Genomic DNA, 21,413 nt, shown 5'->3' on the forward strand with positions numbered 1-21,413 from the left:
ATAAGCTCCTAGTTAGATTTGACTAAATTATATCAACAATAATTACATCTGAATAAATTACCATCAAACTGATTGAGAATATCAAAGATTTTGGATGTGTGACTTTAATATATTTCTAATAACAAGCCTAGAAATAGATAATAGGGGAAACAGAAAAAATAGGAATATTCATGAAGCAAAAGAAAATGTAAAATTATAGATGTATAAAAATCAATACATAAAAGCAATCATGGACATCTTTTGTGAAATGGTAGAGAAAAAAAAAACAAAAAAAAACTTCAAAACACCCAGTGAGAAGAGAGAGACAGTTTACCTACAATTTCTTTACCTGTCTTCTTTTGATTGTTGAGTACATAGATTTGCCCTATTTCAATGGTATAAATCTGTAGTATAAATGGTATACATGCACACATGTGCACATGCATCCACACAAGCACATACACACACTTCCCATTGGTAATTTGCCTTCTGACTTTACTAAGGAATTTTTTTAATGCATGTATTCTTTATTTTTTATATAATTTAATCTACCCAGCTTTTCTTTTGTGGCTTTTGTTGTTTGTGACACAATGGCAAGTCCTGCTCAATGACAAGGGTATATAAAAAAATTAACTCAGGTTTCTTTCCGGTTGTTCTGTTTCCTTTTCACATTTAAAAATTGAGTTGATTCATAAATTATGGTATATTACGTGAGACTTTTATGATTATAATCTTTTTCTGATAGGCAAAATTTAGCTCAAATATTATTTATTATAAAGTTGACCTTTCCCCCATAGATTGGATATGGTATTTTTGTCACGTCTTAAATGTCCAGGCTTATTTGGCTCTATTTCTATACTTTAGAAAACTTTGCTTCAATTCAGTCAATTAATAGTGAAAGGGTGCTGTGCTGTTTTGCTTATGGATGCTTAATCCTATGTTTACCATTGCTGGGTGGATTACTAGCTTGCTATCATTGAATTTTCTTCAAAGTTTTACTGCTTGTACTTGTCTTTTGTTTTTAAATATAAATTTTAGAATCACTTGTTTGGCTAGTTCTAGAAAATGTGGAGCTTCAGGTACTATTTTGATACTAAAATAATGTTACAAATTAAATGTATGAACATCATAAAATATATAAATATATATTAACTAATAAAACTACAAAATAAAATTGGCAAACCCACCTGATTTAGGAGTTTTCTTTAAATATATACCTCTCAGTGGTTGATAAATAACACAAAACAAAAACAAAACCACAGTGTAATGATATTGAAGGTATGACAATAAGAAATTATATTTGATCTAAGGAATGTGTATACAGTATTGCTTCCAACGAGTGTAAAAATAATTCTTTTCAAATTCATTTGGAATATTTAGATTAATGAACTACTTTTTAGGTGTTTTAAATGTTTAGCTTTCTAAAATATCACTATTTTATAGAATACCTTATCTGACTAAATCAAAAGTAAACAATATTCTTAGAGATATTATACTCCGGGAAAAGATATGTGCTACATCTAAAAACTATAAAAGGGTGCTATCAAGTATATATAAAGAGACCCTAAAATTAGTAAGTTAAAAAAAAAAACTACACAATACTTAAAATGGGAAAGCACAAAAACAAGAATCTCTAAGAAAAGGAAATGCATAGTGGCTTTTAAAAGATAGGAAACTATTGAGCTTTATTTCATTAAAATAAACATGAAAACCACAGTGAAGTATAATTTTACTCTCAAAAAAATTGAAGAAAGAAATAGAGTCTCATATTACCAGATATGATGGCAATATAAAATAAGAAAAATTCAAATTCATATAAACCTGTGGTAGAACAATCACTCTAGAAGACAAAAAAAAATTTACAAACAGTAGTTTGAAAAACTACTGAAGTTAAATATAGTATATTGTATTGTTAAAGCAGCCAGCTAAGCAAACATGACCAGGGCAGGAAAGGCCCCAAACCCAACAAGGAATGTCAGGGTACCATCAGGTGACGATCAGAGGGTTGTTAGTCTGTGTCTCTAAAATAATAGCTGCTTGTAGCAGGTGCCAAGGAAAGGCAGTCTCCCAACAGATAGAAACAACAGAAGCTGGTGATTGACAGTTCCTGATAAGATCTCAGGAATTGGGCAAGTGAGTTCAAGCATGCGCATTTAGAGGCAAAATGGCGGAGTTTAACTGATACGTGACCTTCTTCTGGGAACACTTGACCGGTAAGAGAAAAACCTCATTAAATGAACATATGCACAACTTCAGAAAACACACTGAACATGTGGCCCCTCCCAAGTGCTAGCAGGCCACTGCGCATGTGGACAGCCCACCCCAAGGGAAGAATCAGGGGAGGAGAAATGCAAACCCTGGAATCATGACAACATATAAAACCCCAAGTCGAGGGTCAAGGTTCTCTCAAGTTGCCTACTTGGCCCTCTTCCGAGTGTACTTTACTTTCTTTCATTCCTGCTCTAAAGCTATTTAATAAACTCTTACTCCTACTCTAAAACGTGCTTCAATTTCTCACTCTGCCTTATGTCCCTCAGCCGAATTGTTTCTTCTGAGAAGGCAAGAATTGAGTTTGCTGCAGACGAATCAGATTCACCACAGCTAACATACTTGGGAGGTTGAATGCCTCGGGCAGAAAAAGTCAAGACGCCAAAGCATGGTAGCAGCGGCAAATCCGACGGGTCTGCAGCAAACTCAATTCTTGAATGGATGGGGCAGGTATTCTCTTTACTTGCTAGAGAATCAACGATTCCATATTCAAACATCCTGTGAACTAGCTAATCCTGGGGAGAGTAATGAGACTTACCTGACAGAGAGGAGGATATATGCTGGTCTTTGAGGTTTTCAAGGCTGTGAGACAGGAAAAGCTGGAGTGTGGCTAGAACAGAGTGGTAGAAGAAACTGCATTGTTCTGATTGTATTGGTGTTGAGATAGACCAGGTAGAGTCAGCAGCACGATCACTCTCTACGTTTCCTAGAGTGGTAGTAGCAATGACAGTGGCAGCTCAGTTATCAACTTTGAGTCCTAAGGTACAAGTGAGAGTGTTACTGGCAGAACGTATTCATATCCATATGGGGTCTGCAGCAACCTCACCCTCACTTGGGAGGGGCCACATGCACAGTGTGCTTACTGAAGTTGTGAAGTTGTGTGCATGCTCATTTAAAGCTGTTTCCCTTAGCCGTGGAGTATTACCAGAGGAAGGTCATATACTTGTTAAACTCTGTCATTTTGCCTCCTAGTGTGCATGCTTAAGCCCACTTTTTCAACTCCTGAGATCTTATTGGAAAGCTGCTGATCACTAGCTGAAGGTGTTTTCTATGTATTAGAGGACTACCTTTCCCTGGCACCAGTTATGAGCAATTATTATTTTAGAAAGACAAACTAATAACTGCCTGACCATCATCTGATGGTTGCCTGACATTTCTTGGAGGGGACTTTCCGGTCCTGCTCATGTCTGCCTAGCTACCTACTCTAACACTATGACTGAGCCTCTTACATATGTGTGACAGAAAATGTGTACAAGAATGCTGGCCAGGCATGGTGGCTCATACCTGTAATCCCAGCACTTTGGGAGGCAAGGTGGGTGGGTCACTTGAGGCCAGTGGTTTGAAACCAGCCTGGCCAACACAGAGAAACCCTCTCTCTACTAAAAATACAAGAAAAATTAGCTGGGTGTGGTGCGACATGCCTGTACCACCAGCTACTTGGGAGGCTGAGGCATGAGAGTTCTTTGAACCTAGAAGGCGGAGATTGCAGTGAGCCAGGATCGCACCACTGCACTCCAGCCTGGGCAACAAAGTAAGACTCTGTCTCAAAAAAAAAAAAAAAAAAAAAAAAAAAAGCTAATAACAGCTTTGCTCATAATGGCAGAGAAAAAAAAAGAGTTAAACAAAATTCGTTAACTGAAGAAGCAATAAATAAATACATAAATACGCATACAGAATAATATTTATTGTAACATCATAAAAATAAATTAATTCCTGCTTCAAGCATTAGCATTTAAATACCTCAAAAACAAAAATGAAATAAAATACAATAAATAGATTTATCATGGAAGAATAAAGTTCAATTTTTTATATGTGTGTACACCACACACACACAGTAAAACCAAGTAATGCAATATTAAATGTGTGTGGTGTGTGCGTATGTATGTTGTAAAACTATAGAGCAAAACAAGGGAATGAGTAAAACCAAATTCAGAGCAGTGGTTACTTCATTAAGTAAGAGTAAGCAATGTGATCAGTTAATACAGAGCAGGGAATTCAACTTTATTTGTAGTGCTCTATTTTTGTAAGCTGAGTCATGAGTATCTGGATTTTTGTTTTGTTCTATCTTACTATGTAACATATACAGCCTCATAAACTATACTCTTTTGCTTATATCATATTCAAATAAGAAAGTTGATAACATAAAAACAAAGTAAGAACTCCCTAAAATTTTACATTGTTTCAATTAATTTTGACATTTTTATTTTATACAAGATTCTAGCCATAAATATGGCAATTTTGTATCTTGAAAATGTGACAAATATACTTTAAAATGTCTACTTGTTCCTTTGTTTAAAATAAAATGCTTGCCAGATCAAATAAATTTAAATATTTTTAGCTATATTGGTACTAAACATTTCCCTGTCATACCAATATGTAAAGTTGTTCTAAATCTGCTTTCATGAACATGCCATTTGAGCTAATTACTTTAGAGTAAATGCAGCTCTCAAATAATTGCTAAACCTTAGGAAATGCTTTCAATAATTGACTTAGTTTTCATAAGCAAAACTTGTGTTACTAAATCTGAATTAAATGCACATTTGAGACACTTAAAGTGTTAACATGTCAAATATTTTAATAGTGTAATAAAAATAACTTGTAGAATTAATGCCAAAAATAATTCAAACACTGCATTCACATTTTTTTACAAATTTTCTGTCATTCAAAAATGTTGTGTGGTATTTTCATGTGAATTGTGTCATCTGCAATGAATATGTTTTTCTACTAATTGATATAATCTAAATTGAAAATATTGTATTTCCTAAAGTACAAATTTCCAACTTCTGTGACTTACATGAGATAGAAAGTCTAATTTTAGAAGTGATATAAGTAGAGACAGTGAAAAATACAAAATATTGCAGAAAACTTGATATATTCATATACAGATATATAAATGTTAACTTATTCACAATTATAATTCTTTAGTAATTTTTTCACAATATTTTTACTCGTATTTTTACACATAATATTCAATTGGGAGGAAGAATGCACAGTTCTAGTCTTTCTAAAAAAAATTATCTAGTGTTTGCCTCTCATTGACTCTACATATATACAAATATAAAACATTTCTTTATCTTTTATCTTATTCCAAAAATAATTTAAGGGATGGGTAGCTAGATTGATGGCTTAGTGGCCATAATATCTCAAGCATAATATTTTCTCCTTGACCAATCTCGGTTTCTGCTAAAGATGAAAAACTCTGGACTGTGTCTCATGCTCAAACAGATTAAACTCTCTAATGTAATATCAAGAAAAAGTATGTTTTACTGAAGAAATGAAGAAGTATTTATATTACCTTTCATATATCTACATTAAACAAGTTTCAAATATTGCATTTCTTTCACTGAAGTTCTCCCTTGCCCAACCACCTCACTTCTTTCTTTATCTCCGCTAGCCTCTAAGGAACTCTTTCTGTTCTTCTTAACGACTAACTTAAAATTTACATTTAAATAAGTAGTTGCACGAAGAAAACTACATAGTATTTTTCAGTCATGCCCATCCCCTACTAACCTACTTCAACAGCAGTTTCTTAGAGTTCTCAGAAAATACAATAATCATGAGAGATATAATTAAGGCTTATAAAATAAGATTTCTCTCTAAATGGTGAGATTTGTGAATATATATATGTAATGAATATATATAATAAATACATAATGAATATATAATGTATTTATATGCCCCTGTAGATGTAACCATGCTACAGTGAATAATAGAGACATTCTAGAGATTTCTGTCAGTGAAGACAGACACATGATTTTGATACTGAAGGACCTTGACTTTTGAAATCAAGACAACTAGATTCACATTCCATGTCAACCACTAGTTAATTCCCATTAACTATAACTTGTTCTCCCTTATGTGTGGGAAATATTAACCTCATAGCTATATTAAGTCAATTTCAGTACATTCGAGTTGGCAATATATGGATTTTTGAAGTAAATAGAAAATATAGGAAAAACAACCATGAGCCTCAATCTATCATTCCTTTTCAATGGCCTAACAAAAAGGAATGTAAATGATGTTTGACCCACATATATGACTAACAATGCTAGAATAGATCCAAGTCTTTTCCAGGTACAGAATTGGGAAAAATTGAATAAATGGTTTCTTATTTCAACTTTACCAATCTATGACATTCTTACACTCCCCTTAACTCAATTCTTTTTTCTCCCTACTGTGAGCAATAATCACACCATTTCTCCCCCATCTTTCTTTTCTTATCAAAATTTCTCTCTCCTATTTCTGTAGGGCTCCATCTTTGACTTTGTTTTAACTTGAAAAAAGATTCACAGTTTAGAATTGTACAATAGATGAGTTTCTTACTTCCTTTAATGGAGAGATAGCAATTGTGCCTAAATGGTTATATTCCAGGGCAATGTAAATGTAATGGTAGTATATGGATAAGGTAGTACATATATTAATATGCTACATTATCAACGTGATGGTAATATGCAGGATTATTTCTCCTGACATATTAAAATATAATTTTGAAGGTACTTTCAAATCTTTAAACCTGTTTCTCTAGTCTCTGATATCTGTGCATTCAAGTCAAATTAAAATCATTGTTTCATAGATTTCTGTTCAAGAAAAACATATTTTCTATGAAAATTTGTACACATTTTGGAGATTACTTTATAATAATTTTTTTCCATAGGAAATATAAGCTATAAATACATTGGATCAGTAAAAAATAATCCAAGGAGAAAAGAGGTTTGTAAGAAATCCTGATCTGTTTTGGAGCCAATAGAAGGCCTCTGGACAGTCAGGGTTTCCACAAGCGGTGGAAAATGAACAGCAGAGTGAGCAGACAAGGCTTTGCTCTTCTGTTGTACCTCTTCTTCACCCAGAAACTTATTCTTCTGCATAAATTGAGATCTTATATAAAATTTTATTTGATGTAAGTTTCCAAACATTTTACAAATGTGAAAACATTGAGTTAGTGAGTATAAAATAGCCTTACAAATCTTCAGATTAGAGCCTTCATCTTCCCTGATGGCCTCTACTCCTGCCTGATGCCTAGCATTGCTCTTGGCCGAGGGCAGCAGGCATTTATGGAATGGAGGCTCAGCAACAGGACTTTGTTCTTTCTTGTTTGATCTGGTAGAGACTTGGTTCCTGAGATCCTGTTTTTATTTTCATAGCTTTTTTTTTTTTTGCTTCTTTTTACAATTTAACACTCCCCTTTCAAACAGGATTGGGCCCCTAAAATAATATTTTCATGTTGTGACTGTTTCTTGGCCATAATGGGATGTACTATGTTAAATCTGTAAATGGGATTACATGACACTGGCTGTGGGAAGTATAGGAATACATGTACTAGAAAGCTGCCCTCATTTATACACGCACCCTTATCAGAACTGAAGTTTACAGTTGCTTTGAACAGCTCCAGGATGCAACATTCACCTTCACAGTTTAGATTTCTAGAATTATTATGACCTTATGCCAGCAGATGGCAGTAAAATATTTTATTTTTAAGAAGGCAAAATATTCTAATTAGCACAAGTTGCACAGGGTGGATTTCTACTACCAAACACAGTATGGATTGATTTTTAAAAGTTGGTAATTGTTCATTAAATGAATGGATGCCCTGCATGCCAATTAAAAACAACTGTGGAAAATTGTCATAAATGAAATGAAGTGAATGATTCTGGATTTAATATTAAGGTAAAAATGTGGTGGCCCAAATTTTTTGAAGTCTTGTTTCAGTCCATTTTCCCTTGCCTGTGAAAGTCTGAAATCATTCTATATCTATACCTTGGCAAAATATTCTGAGAAGTGAGAAACTGGCACATGTTGGCATGGATACCTAACATCCACACCGTTTCCCTCTGACAAGTTATTAACAGAAATGCTTCACTGAAACTGATGGGCTTTGCTTTACTGAGGAAGCATTTTCTGCCAAAATATTTCTTTTCTGTAACAGGGCCAACCGAAATGGTCGATTTGGGTTCTTGCTTTAATCTCCTTTACTTCTTTCTTCAATTAGATGTAAATTTCACAGACTTGGCTTATAGAGATCATCAAACATTTACTAAGTACTTATATTATTATTTCCTTCCCATTTTCCTATTCCTAACCTAATCCAGCTCTCATTCTTTTATGTATCTTTCTCAAAGAATTTTAAACTGATCTCTCTGTCTCTAGCTCTTCTTTTTTCCCTCCAGTGCATCAAATGCTGATAAATTATTATTATTTTTTATATATGGCCCTGTGACTTTTGGTGATTTGTCTCACCTGTTAATTTGGCGTGTGGAATGGTTCTAGAATCACCTTGAGGTCTAGTGTGCCTTAAATGCCCGTAGGTTTTGTTTACTTTCTATATTCTTTTCTTTCTCTGTGTGTGTGTGTGTGTGTGTGTGTGTGTGTGTGTGTGTGTGTGTCAATTCAGAAAGATTGAGAGTGATTCTGCCAGTGGCACCGTCTTCCCAGAATCCTCTCAATTAAAGTGTTTTTAATTAAATTCAAGTATGTAATATATGTATAATTTTCAGTACAGCATACATAGTGTAGCCACTTTATATCTATTGACATTTTATACCTATCTATTGACATTTTTATATCAATAGCTACTCTCATTCTTGATATATGCAATCAGAATATTGGGAAATATATATGCAAAATAGTAAAGTTAGTTATGACTCCTAGTATTTTATGATTGATAGAATTGTAGGTGTTTTTTTAAACTTCTCTCTTGAGTCTTTTTAATGAATAGAAAGACATGTATATGTACATATTTGAAAAAATTAATGCAAATTAGAATCAAAATTTAGATAGACTTACCCTGGAAAACTTTGGCAATTGGTTACCACATCTATGGCTAAGAAAATGAAAGATTTTCTTATGCCTAGTCAGTCACACACCAAGGGAAAAAAAAAAGAGAGAAGGAATGAGGAACAAAGTAAAGTGACAAACTTTACAAAAAAGCATAATACTATTACAAAGCAAGTTAAAACATAATGTAATTTTATTCAATGAATACAGCTTAAGAATTCATTTGAACTTGATACTTGGCACTTTCTCTTTTGAATGATACACACTTAATGATAAAGATTATGTTTCATTTTGTATAGGTCAAAAAGGGTTTGGTATGGCTATCAATAATGATTAAATTATCTTTATATTATAAACCTACTTTATTAATTTTTAATTATTATAATCAACTTATAAACACAGGTTATCAAAGGTTTGCATATATTTTAGGCAATAAATAGATGCTATAATCTTGAATCATAAAGTAATTGTAGATCTGAAAACCCACAAGAAGTGAAAGTGAATCGAACCACATATGGAGAAGTATATATATGGGCCAGTTTCTTAGTTGACATAGTGGTCATTACACAGGCTAAAGTGAATAGTAACAGAAATAAATAAGTATCTTCCTCACAGAGAAAAATAAGGACAAATAAGGAAACTAAATGTTTGCATGAACAAATGAAAGGAGTTAGTACAAATATGCTCAATTCTTTAATCTGTGCTGCAGTAAATCCTGCCTACATTAGATATATGCAGAAATGGAGTAAAAACATAGTATTTAGAGTTTGATGACAATCTAAAGAACAAAAATGAAATAAAATGTTAACGCTAGAAAATGGGACTAAGAGTGGAAGAACTTTTATATTTTATTTTATAGAATTTTGTATTGTTCAGAGTTTTTTTTACACATGCATGAGTTATTTTTATAGTGACAAAAATAAATGTTCATTGATGATTATCACATGTTAGCTCTACACCAGTATATCAGGATGTTTTATTATGAAGTACTTCTTTTAAAATGTCTTTCATCTTCTATTCTGATATAGGTCAAAGGTATTTTTTACTTAGTTTTTGCCAAACATTTAAAGGCAGAATACTAGGTACATTTAAATGACTTGAATGTTTGCACATATTATATTGCCAAAAATTGCTTTTTAAAAAACAACTTACAGAAAGTTGTGTGGTATCGAAACCTAAAAAGAATGCATAAAAGCTGATTTGCATAACACTAACAAAGAGTAAAATAACCCTTTTTAATAAAATGCAATTTTATGAGTCCAATTGATGAAAACATTTAATAACAATTGAGCAAATTAGAGAGAATTTTATGAATCTATGTATTATTTACTAATGTAATAGAGAAAATTGGATGTGCAATATGAGGGAACTTGAATTTCACAATTTTTATGTAACCCTAATCTTGCTCTAAAATAAAAAGTTTATTTTATAAGCCATTCAAAATCAAATTGAGAGTAGCATAACTTTTTACAGCCACTGCGTTTTTCAAAAAGTTTTCCTTTCAAAAGAAATGACCTTCTCTCTACTCAGAAGACTGCATTGCAATTTTAAATAGTCAAACCGGTTCACTAGTCACATCTCTGAAATTTACTGTGCTTCCCACCAATAAGCAAAGTATGGAAATATGTACAGGCACTAACCAGTTGAATCATTTCATGGTTATCCAATCAGTTTAGCCATCTTGAAATCAATGGCTCCTCATGACACAATTGATTGAGCGACAGTGATCAGTGTTGATGGTGAAAGTGTCAGCAATGATTGAATTGGCTGTGTTGCAGGTTAGATTAGCTGCCTATACTGGAAGTATTTCAGGTGGTAAAACTACAGAGGCATTCTTATTGGCAGTTAGATTTGGGGCAGTACAACTAACATTGTCATTCCCATTAGCTACTTTAAATTATCCATTCCTTTACAACCTTAGGATGTCATTTGTTAAATACTACATGTTCTCCTGGAAAAAAAAAAGTAGTTTTCTGTTTAGATTGAATGGTCATTTTGATTAGAGCACTGGTGTTTACCTGTTTAAAGCAATTATAGAAAACACACATTCTATTGCAGATATTGTAGTCTTAGCAGTCAAGGAACTACTGTGACCTTCAAGAACCAAAAAAAAAAAAAAAAAAAAAAAAGCAACAAAAAAGGAAGAAAATATATTTTATATGAGAATCCAAGAACTATTAAGGTATTGGTAATTTTTTAAAATATGAAAAAGTCTATAACCTTGCTATGATTACTCGTTAAAATTTAGCCGATACCTGCTCCCCATCAAAGATGAACTTTAAACAGGCTTCCATGTCTGTTGTATAAACGTCTCAGCTAGTTCACGTGTGAGTTGAAAATGTAGTAAAAGTACTTTTTACCTTCTATCTTGAAGGAAAGTTGACTCTATGCTGTTATAAAGCCAGAACCTTGGAGGAGAAAGTGATGGAACAAGAATTAAAACCATTTTTATTCTCTCAAAATTTAAGACAGCAAAATCCTGAATTTGGTTAAAATAGTAAACAATTGACTTACTCTAGGTAAAAAGCATATGACACAATATAGAATAGTAGTTTACATTTTCAAATAAAAGCATGCCACATTATAATAAAGGCAGGTTATTTGCCATCTTTTATTTTATTTTCCATTACCATGACATGCAGCTCGAAGTCCTACAAAAAGGGAAGTCACATCTTCAAGTAATTTCCTCAGTTTCTACTAGATGGAGCCAAAGTATAAAAAATAGGTCCTTGTGGAGCTACACATTATAAGGAACCCTAACTAAAGCTGTTTCGTTAGTGTAATAAAGCAATGGAAAATTATAAGAAACTAAGTTTATATCTAAGGCCATTTACTAGAATCATTTGAACTTCAATCATGGTCCATTCACATACTTTTTTGTGAAAAATTCTTTATATTTAAAACATATACTCTCATGGAATGTTTCTAGATTCATTTGCCAATTATTGATATTTTTCTCATATGTATATATTTTAAAGTCATTAGTAATAATAACCATTATTTGAAACATATACAGCAAAATACAGTTTAGTCAATTTTTTTCTAAAATTACTTTTATTTTTGTTCAGAAAAAGGAAAAGAGGGAAAAGAAAATGATCAGTGAAAGAAATGATGAAGTACGCTACCAAATCAAAGAATAGTTTATAGTAACTTAAAAAGTTAAAGATAAGAAAGAAATGTTAACATAATTTGTTTGAACTATTCATTTACATGTTATTTTTTAAAAAAATTGTTTCCTGTATCACATCGCTAAATTGTCCATGTCATGACTAGCTAGCAGTGTAGACTCCCCTTACTTTTCAGACACTTTTTGGCTAGCTGAGTGGTGAGCTAAATAAATCAAAAAAAAAAAAAGGAACAAAAGTTTTCTGTTGTAATTTTGCTACTTTAGGTATAATCTTATTTTAATGTCTTAGAAAGTAACAAGAATTTTTGAATATACAAATAAAACTGAATGTAAATACCTTCTTTTTGTTGGGATTTTTTTTAACTTTTTTCTAGGGATAGAAGCCTACAAAGTCAATCACAAAGAAAATTAATGTATTGATAAATTATTTTAATTAAATAATAGAATTTGTGATTTCAAAAATCATATTTGTCAGTATGTAAATTATTTGCAACTTCATAACACGGTTAAATTTATTTCATATACATGAAGGAGGTACTCTTGAGATCTTTGACAAACAGTTGAATCCCAGGATGATGATGGCAGGAACCTTCTTTGACTAAGTTATTCACATTTATAAAATTTACTTCATTAGTTATTTTAGCAACTCTTCTTTTTCACTGGTTGTATGTTACCAATCTTCCTAGATAACGTTAAAAAACAGCAGTTTGAGTAATGAAACATTTTCCCATAAACCAATTTATTTGCCATCTTTAAAGCAAACATATTAGATGAGTAATTCTATTCTCTGTAATTCTACTAAATCAATCGTTTGAGTAGCTTAGTAATGTATAATCATGCCTTTTACAGATAAGCTAGGCCTATTGCTTCAATCCCAAGAGTCTATAACATACGGGTTCTGTTTACTACACAAAACTGCAACTTATCAATATTATCAGGCTACTCAAATAACAGTTGAGGTCAGGTTTAAAAAAAACACAAATTTAAATATCTTTTGTGGCAATATATTGAAAAACATCTAGTTGTTTTATTGATTTTTCTACTTGTTAATTGGTTAAATCAAGGTTGTGTTGTTATAACCATAGAGACGTTTAGGTGAAATAAATAGTAAATATAGTAGTAATTAGGCACCACATCGATAGAGCAGCAAGAGAGAGGTTGTGGTTTTTCAAAATGATTCAATATATCCTAAAATTTATATTGAGATTTTAGAGGGTGAATTTGATTGTAGTAAATATTTGTAAAATATGTTAGTGAACTAATTATCAGCCAGTTTTTCATTCTCATGAACAATTTGTGGAAATAAACTGGCATGTATTAAAGCAAAAAAAAATGCTTTGACAAAGCCAAAAAAATCAGATTTATAAGATCTCGCAGGTTATCAGAATGATAATGTCTAATAACCTCAAATAAATAAGTTTTTTTCAAAGAAATTAAAATTCTTCACATGCATTATTATTCAAAGTCTTATGGATTTACAGCTGTTATTGTAGCTCAGGCCAAAAAACATAACAAAGTAAGAAAATTCATAAAACCAGATAATTTATCAATAAAATTATATATTTTGTTCGAAATCATATAAGAATAACAAATATAGAAAGAAAGCAACGAAAGAAAAGGAGGAGAGAGAGCACAAGCAAGAGAGAGCATGTGCAGAAAGAAAAATACAAAGTGTAAAAAGTTGGAGGAAGAATTTAAAACATAAAATGTGTCTTGATTTTAATTAATTATTTAATGAATATTTTCTTTAACAATATACAATTTAGTTTATAAATGTTTTCAACGAAAATATTTATTGTGAAATCCAACAGGTATGCTCCTAACATTGTTATTGGACCACACGCATATCTGTTTTTATTGTATTTGGTCTTTGTCTTTTAACTGGGAATGGGAGCTGTAATTTCCCAAGTTTTGCTCTCAAGTCACATTATCAGGCAGAGATTATACCTGCCTTATTTATGTTTTCGTGTTGTTTGGTTTGTTACTAAAAAAAATTCCTATAACCGAGTACAGATTTATATATATATGACAAATAATTTGGACTTGCACTCACCTATTCTTCACTAATAATCCTGAATTAGAATATGCAACTACTAAAAATAAGTAGGTAAATAATCACAATATACTAAAAGTAACTTCATTTTATAATAGTTAAACTGAAGAAAAATCTGCTATTTATTTTAATATTGTTACTATGGTGGATAAGATGAAAGATACATAAGGAAACTTACAGAACAAAAAATAAGTGAATAACAAATGACCCTTAGCTCTTTTAAGAAGATATAATGCTGACTTTTTAATTTATTTATCAGAAAGGGAGTCTTAGTATCTGTTTATTACTATTAAAATCAGGATATTTTAATTTTTCTACATATAAACTAAAAATATATGTAGGTTTCCATGGCATCAGGTAGCACCTTTCCTGTTCGAAAAAGCTTATATATTAGACAATTGAGAAAATTTTGTAATATCATCTGAAATTTTAGGGATTGGAATATAAAATTTGTTTTCTGCATGAAACATTAAAAAAGAAAGGTACCATGTCATTACACATTATTGAGTGAGGGGAAAGTGGGTGATGCAACATCTTTATACCATAACATTTTTTTTTCAATTTTGGGGGTCATATGTCTACATAAAACACTTTAGAATATAGCTGATATAAAAATTGATGTGAAGCAATATTTCGAATGTTATACATTTTTATCCTGCACTGGGATATCTTCCCTTACTCTGTTCCCTGCCTATAGATGATATGCCTAAAGTGTTAAGGATAATCTATCAAACAACACATTTTGTTAAACATCTGCTGAAGAAGAGTTCAAAGTCTTGGAGTGCAGCCACAAAGACCAGAAGTAGAACAAAGTCAACTCTTCCTGTTGCTCCACTCTTTTAAAAATTTTATTTATCAGCTACTTAACGGGCCCAGAAGTTTGTAGGTGGAAAATATATTAGAGATTACTTTGTCAGATCCACACATTTTTTTTTCCCAGAGGAAACTGAAGCCGAAGAACCTGTCTCTTAAATTTAAGCTTATATAATTAACTAATAGTAAAGATAATCCTAAAATCTATTTCCACTGATTTTAGTTCTTATTCTTTTTTTATTTCAGTTCTTATTTTTAAATCACTTTTGCCCAAATTTCAGGCAAGCAATTACAATTAAAATGTGTATTCCTATAAATTTATATTTCTCTCAATAAAGGTATAAGTTGTTTTCAAGTTTTAACAGGATGATGTGATAAGTAGTCATTGCCATGGAGAAACATGAATTATGATCTTGAAGAACTTTGACCTCCATGTTTTAGAAGAGCTGGTTTTATGCTGGAAGCAAAAAGTGGAGATGGGTAAAAGAAAAGAAATAACTAATGATCATTTTGTTAGCTAAAGTTTTACAAATACTGTTTTCGAAAAGCAAAGGTTAAATAAAAGATATGCTTTCAGTACAATTGATTGTAAAGATCTATTGAATGAGAAAATATCAGAGATGCTATAAACTCAGGTCACAGACTGATGGAAAATCATAGGATGTTTTACTATTGAACATGAACTTCCCACATAAAAATAAGGCTGCATAAAAAGGCAAAAAAGGGAGGGAGTTCATTTTGTCCTTTGTGTTATCTTGTATGGATAATTTATCTAACACTAAAACAGACATTGGGAGTGCTCTATTATTTCATAGAATATTAAGTTAAAGTGCTATCTAATAGCCAAACACTTGCCTTCTAACCTTAACCAGGATTTCAGTTAAAAGATCAGTTTAGAATCTCATCACTAGATGGCATTGTTACACTTGAATACAATTTAAATAATACAATGACCAAATGAGCTAGTTAAATTAGTAGACAATTATCCCGGTTCTCCTCTTCCTTTTATGAGATGAAGCTGGTTACTTAGCCTGCAGGATAAATCCTATAGGATGCCCCACTCAGTCAGGGCTGCTTTTTCACAAGCTCTCTCTTCCCAGCTTTCACCTCAATCTGTCATACAGATTTGACACCGCATCGTTCCAACAGTACTCAGAAATGACATGTATATAATGTGGAATATTGTGCACATTTACAGCCGGGGCTCTTTCTCTTAAACATCGCTGGCTATATCTTGGCTTCTGGATTCTGCCTTGCTCAGTGTTCTTTACTTTTCACATATAAATGGATGCCTAACCCAAACTTTTATTATTACGATTATCTTAAAGCAAAACCAGAGGACAGCATACCTGATTTCTGTCATTTTTTCTGTTAGTATTTTCAAGCTTCCACTGAGCTTCCTGTAAGCTAATGAAGGCCATGGGACATACAGGGCAATGCTAACACATGATATTTTTATGATTCAGTTCCATGAATACTGCAAATGAAGTTAAGTGACATTCTATTGAAAGAGGTTCTTCTTTACTTCTTTATTTATTTCCTTAAGATCAACAAGACCAGTTCAATAAGCCTAGCAACCCATTTTCTTCCCCAGAATAGGCCTTAGCTTTGTTTTCTTATGTTATCATAATCTAGCACTTTTCCTGTTCTAAGTGAAAACCCACTGAAGAAGCAAAACCATTCCATTATGAGTGTTATCAAAAAGCAATACCATGCTGTTTTTAAATGAATACAAATCCAAAATGCATTGTAAAGTGTACCCAGCCCACACTTAGGTGACATCACCCACACATTCTGTGTGTGATTACTGTACATCGCATCTGCATATTTCACAAGAAGTACAATGCATTGTGGGTGGTGGTTTCTATTTACAAGAAGGGATGCTGGAAATACCCACATCACAAAGTGATATTTTTGTTTTATTAACATAATAGGGCACAGTTGTTTTGGCAGATTGCAATACAGCTGTAGTATATACTTTCTGACTAGGATTGCTACTTTATTCTTTTTCAAATGCCCTCCTCCATCCCCAAATCTGTACTTTCCCATGAATCTGAAAAATGAACTCTTTACATTCTTCTAACAGAAACCTTCTGAACACATACCTTCAATTCCTATGAAGAGAACATTGAAACCACAGGGCAGAGCGAGCAACAATATAAGCCACCTAATTAATTAATAGTTCACTATAAACAATGAACTACATGTAAATATTACAGTCCTTTTACATCCAAAGAACTAAGATTACACATGATAATTTTATTTGGCATTAATATGCACTAAGCAGAAGAATTTCTGCAGGAATTTATAATATAATGCAAACTTCTGTTAGACTGCTAACAGGCAAGAGGAAACTGGAAAAAAAAAGGGCTGGCTAAGTTAGCCTACAATCATCACTTACTTGAAGGAAAAGGCAGATCCTATTAGCTACAATTCTCAACACTCATAGTACTAAAATGTACAGTAATATAATTACATATATTTAACAGATTTTAGAGAACTTTCTTGACAAAGTACCCAGGGTCAAGATTTTTAAGCTCAAATTTGAATGTCTGTTTACCTTGTAAAATAATGTGTTATTAATTAATTCAGAAATTTGTTCATATATCATACAGGCTTACGAAGATGTTAAAAGCAAAATAGTTTTCTCCAGGCCAATATTTTCAAATAATTCTTGTTTTCAAATAATTCTTCCTGTTTACATTCTCATATTCCTTTTGATGCATTTGAAGATCACAAAGTAAAATGTTTCCTGATTCAGAATTTGGCTGTATGCAAATTTATATTTCCTGAGAGAGCACATGTAACTACTGAAACTGTGAATGAGAGAACCATTTTAATATTGTGTATTTGTATGGTTTTATAATTTATAATGTGGCTTAACGAATACTGATGTTGAAAATGAAACCCAGTTGTAATTCTACTAGCCAATGTTCTGATCAGCTCCTTAATTTAAATTTTACATGAAGCAAATTAAAGATTTTTAGTACAGTATTCCAAAGTCACTTTATATAAATGTTTTCTTAATATAATTTGTGATAAGTATTCATTTTCTTTGTAGAAAAAAAGGAAGCTTATTCTTTGAAGAAAAAAATATAAGCTACATAAAAACATTAGTCTGCTGAAGGATATTTCCATTGTTATTGTTCTCCCCTGAACATCCTAAAGAACTGCTATGAGTATGATTTAAGTTCCTACAGTGTAGATAATCTACAGTGTATTTCTCAAATGGTTATCTCCCGAGCTTCCTCATTAGTGCTCTTCCTCTCTCTCACAGGCGCACACACACACTTAGATGTGGACACTTACACTCACATACACTAGCTTTAGCTCTTTACTTCTCTATCAATTTTAAATTTATCCCTGAAGCTTGAAAGAGATATACATTGCATTGAACCTTGTAAATAGAGCTATCTATATCAGCACCCTTAGGGAAAATAGAGTGCCTTCACATGGCATAGAACTTTGTCTGAAAAAGTTTACATGTAATATAATTTTCTTTATTTTTTAATATAATGTTTAGTATGTATGTCTATCTAACTTGGCAAAACTATTTTGTCTATCACACTGACACGTTTTTAATCTTTTAAATATATTTTAAATGAGAAGCTGAAATAAACAACCCAGACCACCACTTGCATTGTTTGATTATTAATTCTGAATTCACTTCTCACAGAGTTTTTAAAAATAAATTCCTGACAGCAGATAATTCTGTTACAATCACCATGATAACCAATGGCCATTTTATTTGCAGTCTGCCTGTTTACAACTCTGTTTTAATATTGCCTTAAAGTATGACAGTGTGCTTTAAGACAAATTCAAAAGACATTTAGATGGCTTTATAAATGTAATTTCTTTTAGCATGACTTTAAATTTTTTAAAAAATGTGTTGTCTTATAAATTACAGGGGTTCACGTGTAAGCATTATTCAATTTTATTTGTATGAATTGCCTTGATGATGTTTTCCCTCAGAAAAGGATTGGGTTAAGGTAGACATAATCTTTAATTATTAGGCTTATAAATTTATTTCACTAAAAAGCCTACAATGCATTAATAGTGTTATTGATTTTATAAAACAAGTTCACTTTGCATTAACACAAGGTTCTCTTGAGGGATAGCTGGTGAGAAGTAAGTAGTTGCTTTGTAGGCACAAATGTCAGAGGGTAGGAAAGCACAGTGAAAGAATATTGGGACCAAAATTTGATAATCTAGTTCCTATCTCTGCCATTTTTATTAGCTATGTTACCTTTCGCTAGCTTCTAACATCACAGATCTCTATTTTGCTCATCTGTAAAATGATACTACCAAAACTTGCCTGGACTTTGCTACTGTTTAAGGGAGTAATTAAGTATTTTGATAGTCAATTCTTATAAATTCAAGGTGATATTACCCTGCACATCTTTCTGGTGGGATAAATACTTCTCATGAATATAAGAAGTTAGGTTTTGTCTGCCTCAAAAATTTGGCAGTATTTAACAATCAGGTATACAATCTGGCAGTTTGCAAGGAGTGCCTTCTCTTTTACACAAAAAATAATTTGACATTTTGGTAAAAATGGAAAGCATTTAGAATCTGAAGATCAAGGTGACAACAATTCTAGGTATTTTATTCTCAAGGTATCTCACACACACAGGTCTTTACAGAAATGTTTGTTATTATCAATATATTTCTTTATAAAGAAGTCTATATTTTTAATGAAAATGTATATCTATATATCTATAAAATATATGTATAGGTATATTTATAGATAGATATAATACGCACACATACATACACACATGCAAAATTGTCCTATCTCATTGAGATGGAGAAAACTGAAAACGACTGCTCTGGGATCAGATACTTAGTCTTCGTTTTATTTCATTTTAAATATCAGATTTGAAATTAATCCAAGGACCACTATGGAACAGAAAAAATGTGTGTGTCAACATCATCTTTGAAAACTAAACTTTGCCAGGCACAAGCTCTATTTTAGTCCTCAATTCAATTTTATGCAGATAATGAGATTAATTTGCAGGCTTCATTTCAATATTGTCTTTATTTTTAAAAAGCCCATTGACGGTGTCAAAGATTTTGATTAGATAATTTGATCACATTTCTCAAGCCAGATACAAATTAAAGTTGGAGCTAAAACAGAAAATCTTACTGTTTACTATTCAGAACAATCTTCCTATTTCAGGAAATGGCAGAGCTCCAAAAGCCACATGTGTACAAATGAAAATTCATAACATGTTATTCAAACTCCTGTTGTATTTGTGCAATTTACTAATTAGATATGGTAAGTATGAGCACTGAAATATCATAGTAATAGCATTAAAAAGGCCAAAAAACTACTTTTCTCAGTTCACTTCTCTTTATGAATGACATAAAATCCTGTTTTGTAGCATAACTACTCTGTATATCAAATATAAAATAAAACCTTAAAAGTGCAGTGTACATTCTAATAGCAGAGCTTGTTTCTGTATGAGAAATGGAAAGACTCTGATCAAAGAATATTTTAATTAAGATTGGTGATATCTGGAATAAATCAATGTAATACTCATGTATACAAACTAATTTCCTCTTCAAATCATGTGCATTATATGATAAAAATACCAAGTCATTTGACTTCACTGATCCCAAAATGTAACCTTAAAAGAGAATTATTTATTCTCAGTTTGTCTCTACTTGTTGAAAATGTCTTTTCTTATCTCATTTATAGGATTATTTGGAAATGAATTCATTATATAAATATATCAGCTATATGTAGTTATGTAGTGACAAGGAATTAAATTCCAAGTTAATGGCATTAAAATTAGAGAGGATGTGTGTGTATGTAATTTTTGATAGGTATGAAAACACTGACTCTTTTATTGCCAAAATTACCTTCCTTAGGACAGAGCATTTTGCTATTAAAAATATCAAACATGTATTGAACATTTAGTGTACCAGACATTGTAATAAGTGTTTTACATAAACTTTCTAATTTAACCTCTTTCTTTTATCTAATTAGACTATCCTGTTCTGACAATCCATTTTACAGATTTATGAAACCAAGGTTTAGAAAAGTAAAATAACTTCTTTAAGTCACATATTTTGGTAGTTCTAGAATTTGAACCCACATACGTATGATTTTAGAGCCTATCATTTTAGTCATGATGATACATATACTGCCACTATTTTTAGTCTCAGCTATTTCTCATTAACAGAAGAAATTGACTGCTGACAGGGATCATACTTGTGTAAATATTTGTTAATGACCAAGATTTGCGAGTATGGTTTTCAAGGCTGACATTGTTAGCAGCCACATGTTTCTTGCTTTTCAATGTTAAATTAAATATCTTGAATGTGCAAATTTTAGGACTCTGGAGTCAGAACACATTTTTATGCCAGCCTAAACAGAAAACGCTTAATTCATTTTCA

General features: G+C 31.8%; 1 long non-coding RNA gene across 1 annotated transcript in view; it reads left to right on the forward strand.

Moving 5' to 3' along the window:
• Positions 1-1,970: 1,970 nt before the first annotated feature.
• Positions 1,971-21,413, forward strand: part of LOC105373699 (uncharacterized) — a 54,578-nt gene continuing 35,135 nt past the window's right edge. Inside the window, exon 1 of the long non-coding RNA XR_923496.2 lies at positions 1,971-2,192. This is a non-coding gene — a long non-coding RNA (uncharacterized LOC105373699). The remainder of the gene's footprint in view (positions 2,193-21,413) is intronic.

This window comes from Homo sapiens, chromosome 2, assembly GCF_000001405.40.
Source record: "Homo sapiens chromosome 2, GRCh38.p14 Primary Assembly".
Taxonomy (NCBI): domain Eukaryota; kingdom Metazoa; phylum Chordata; class Mammalia; order Primates; family Hominidae; genus Homo; species Homo sapiens.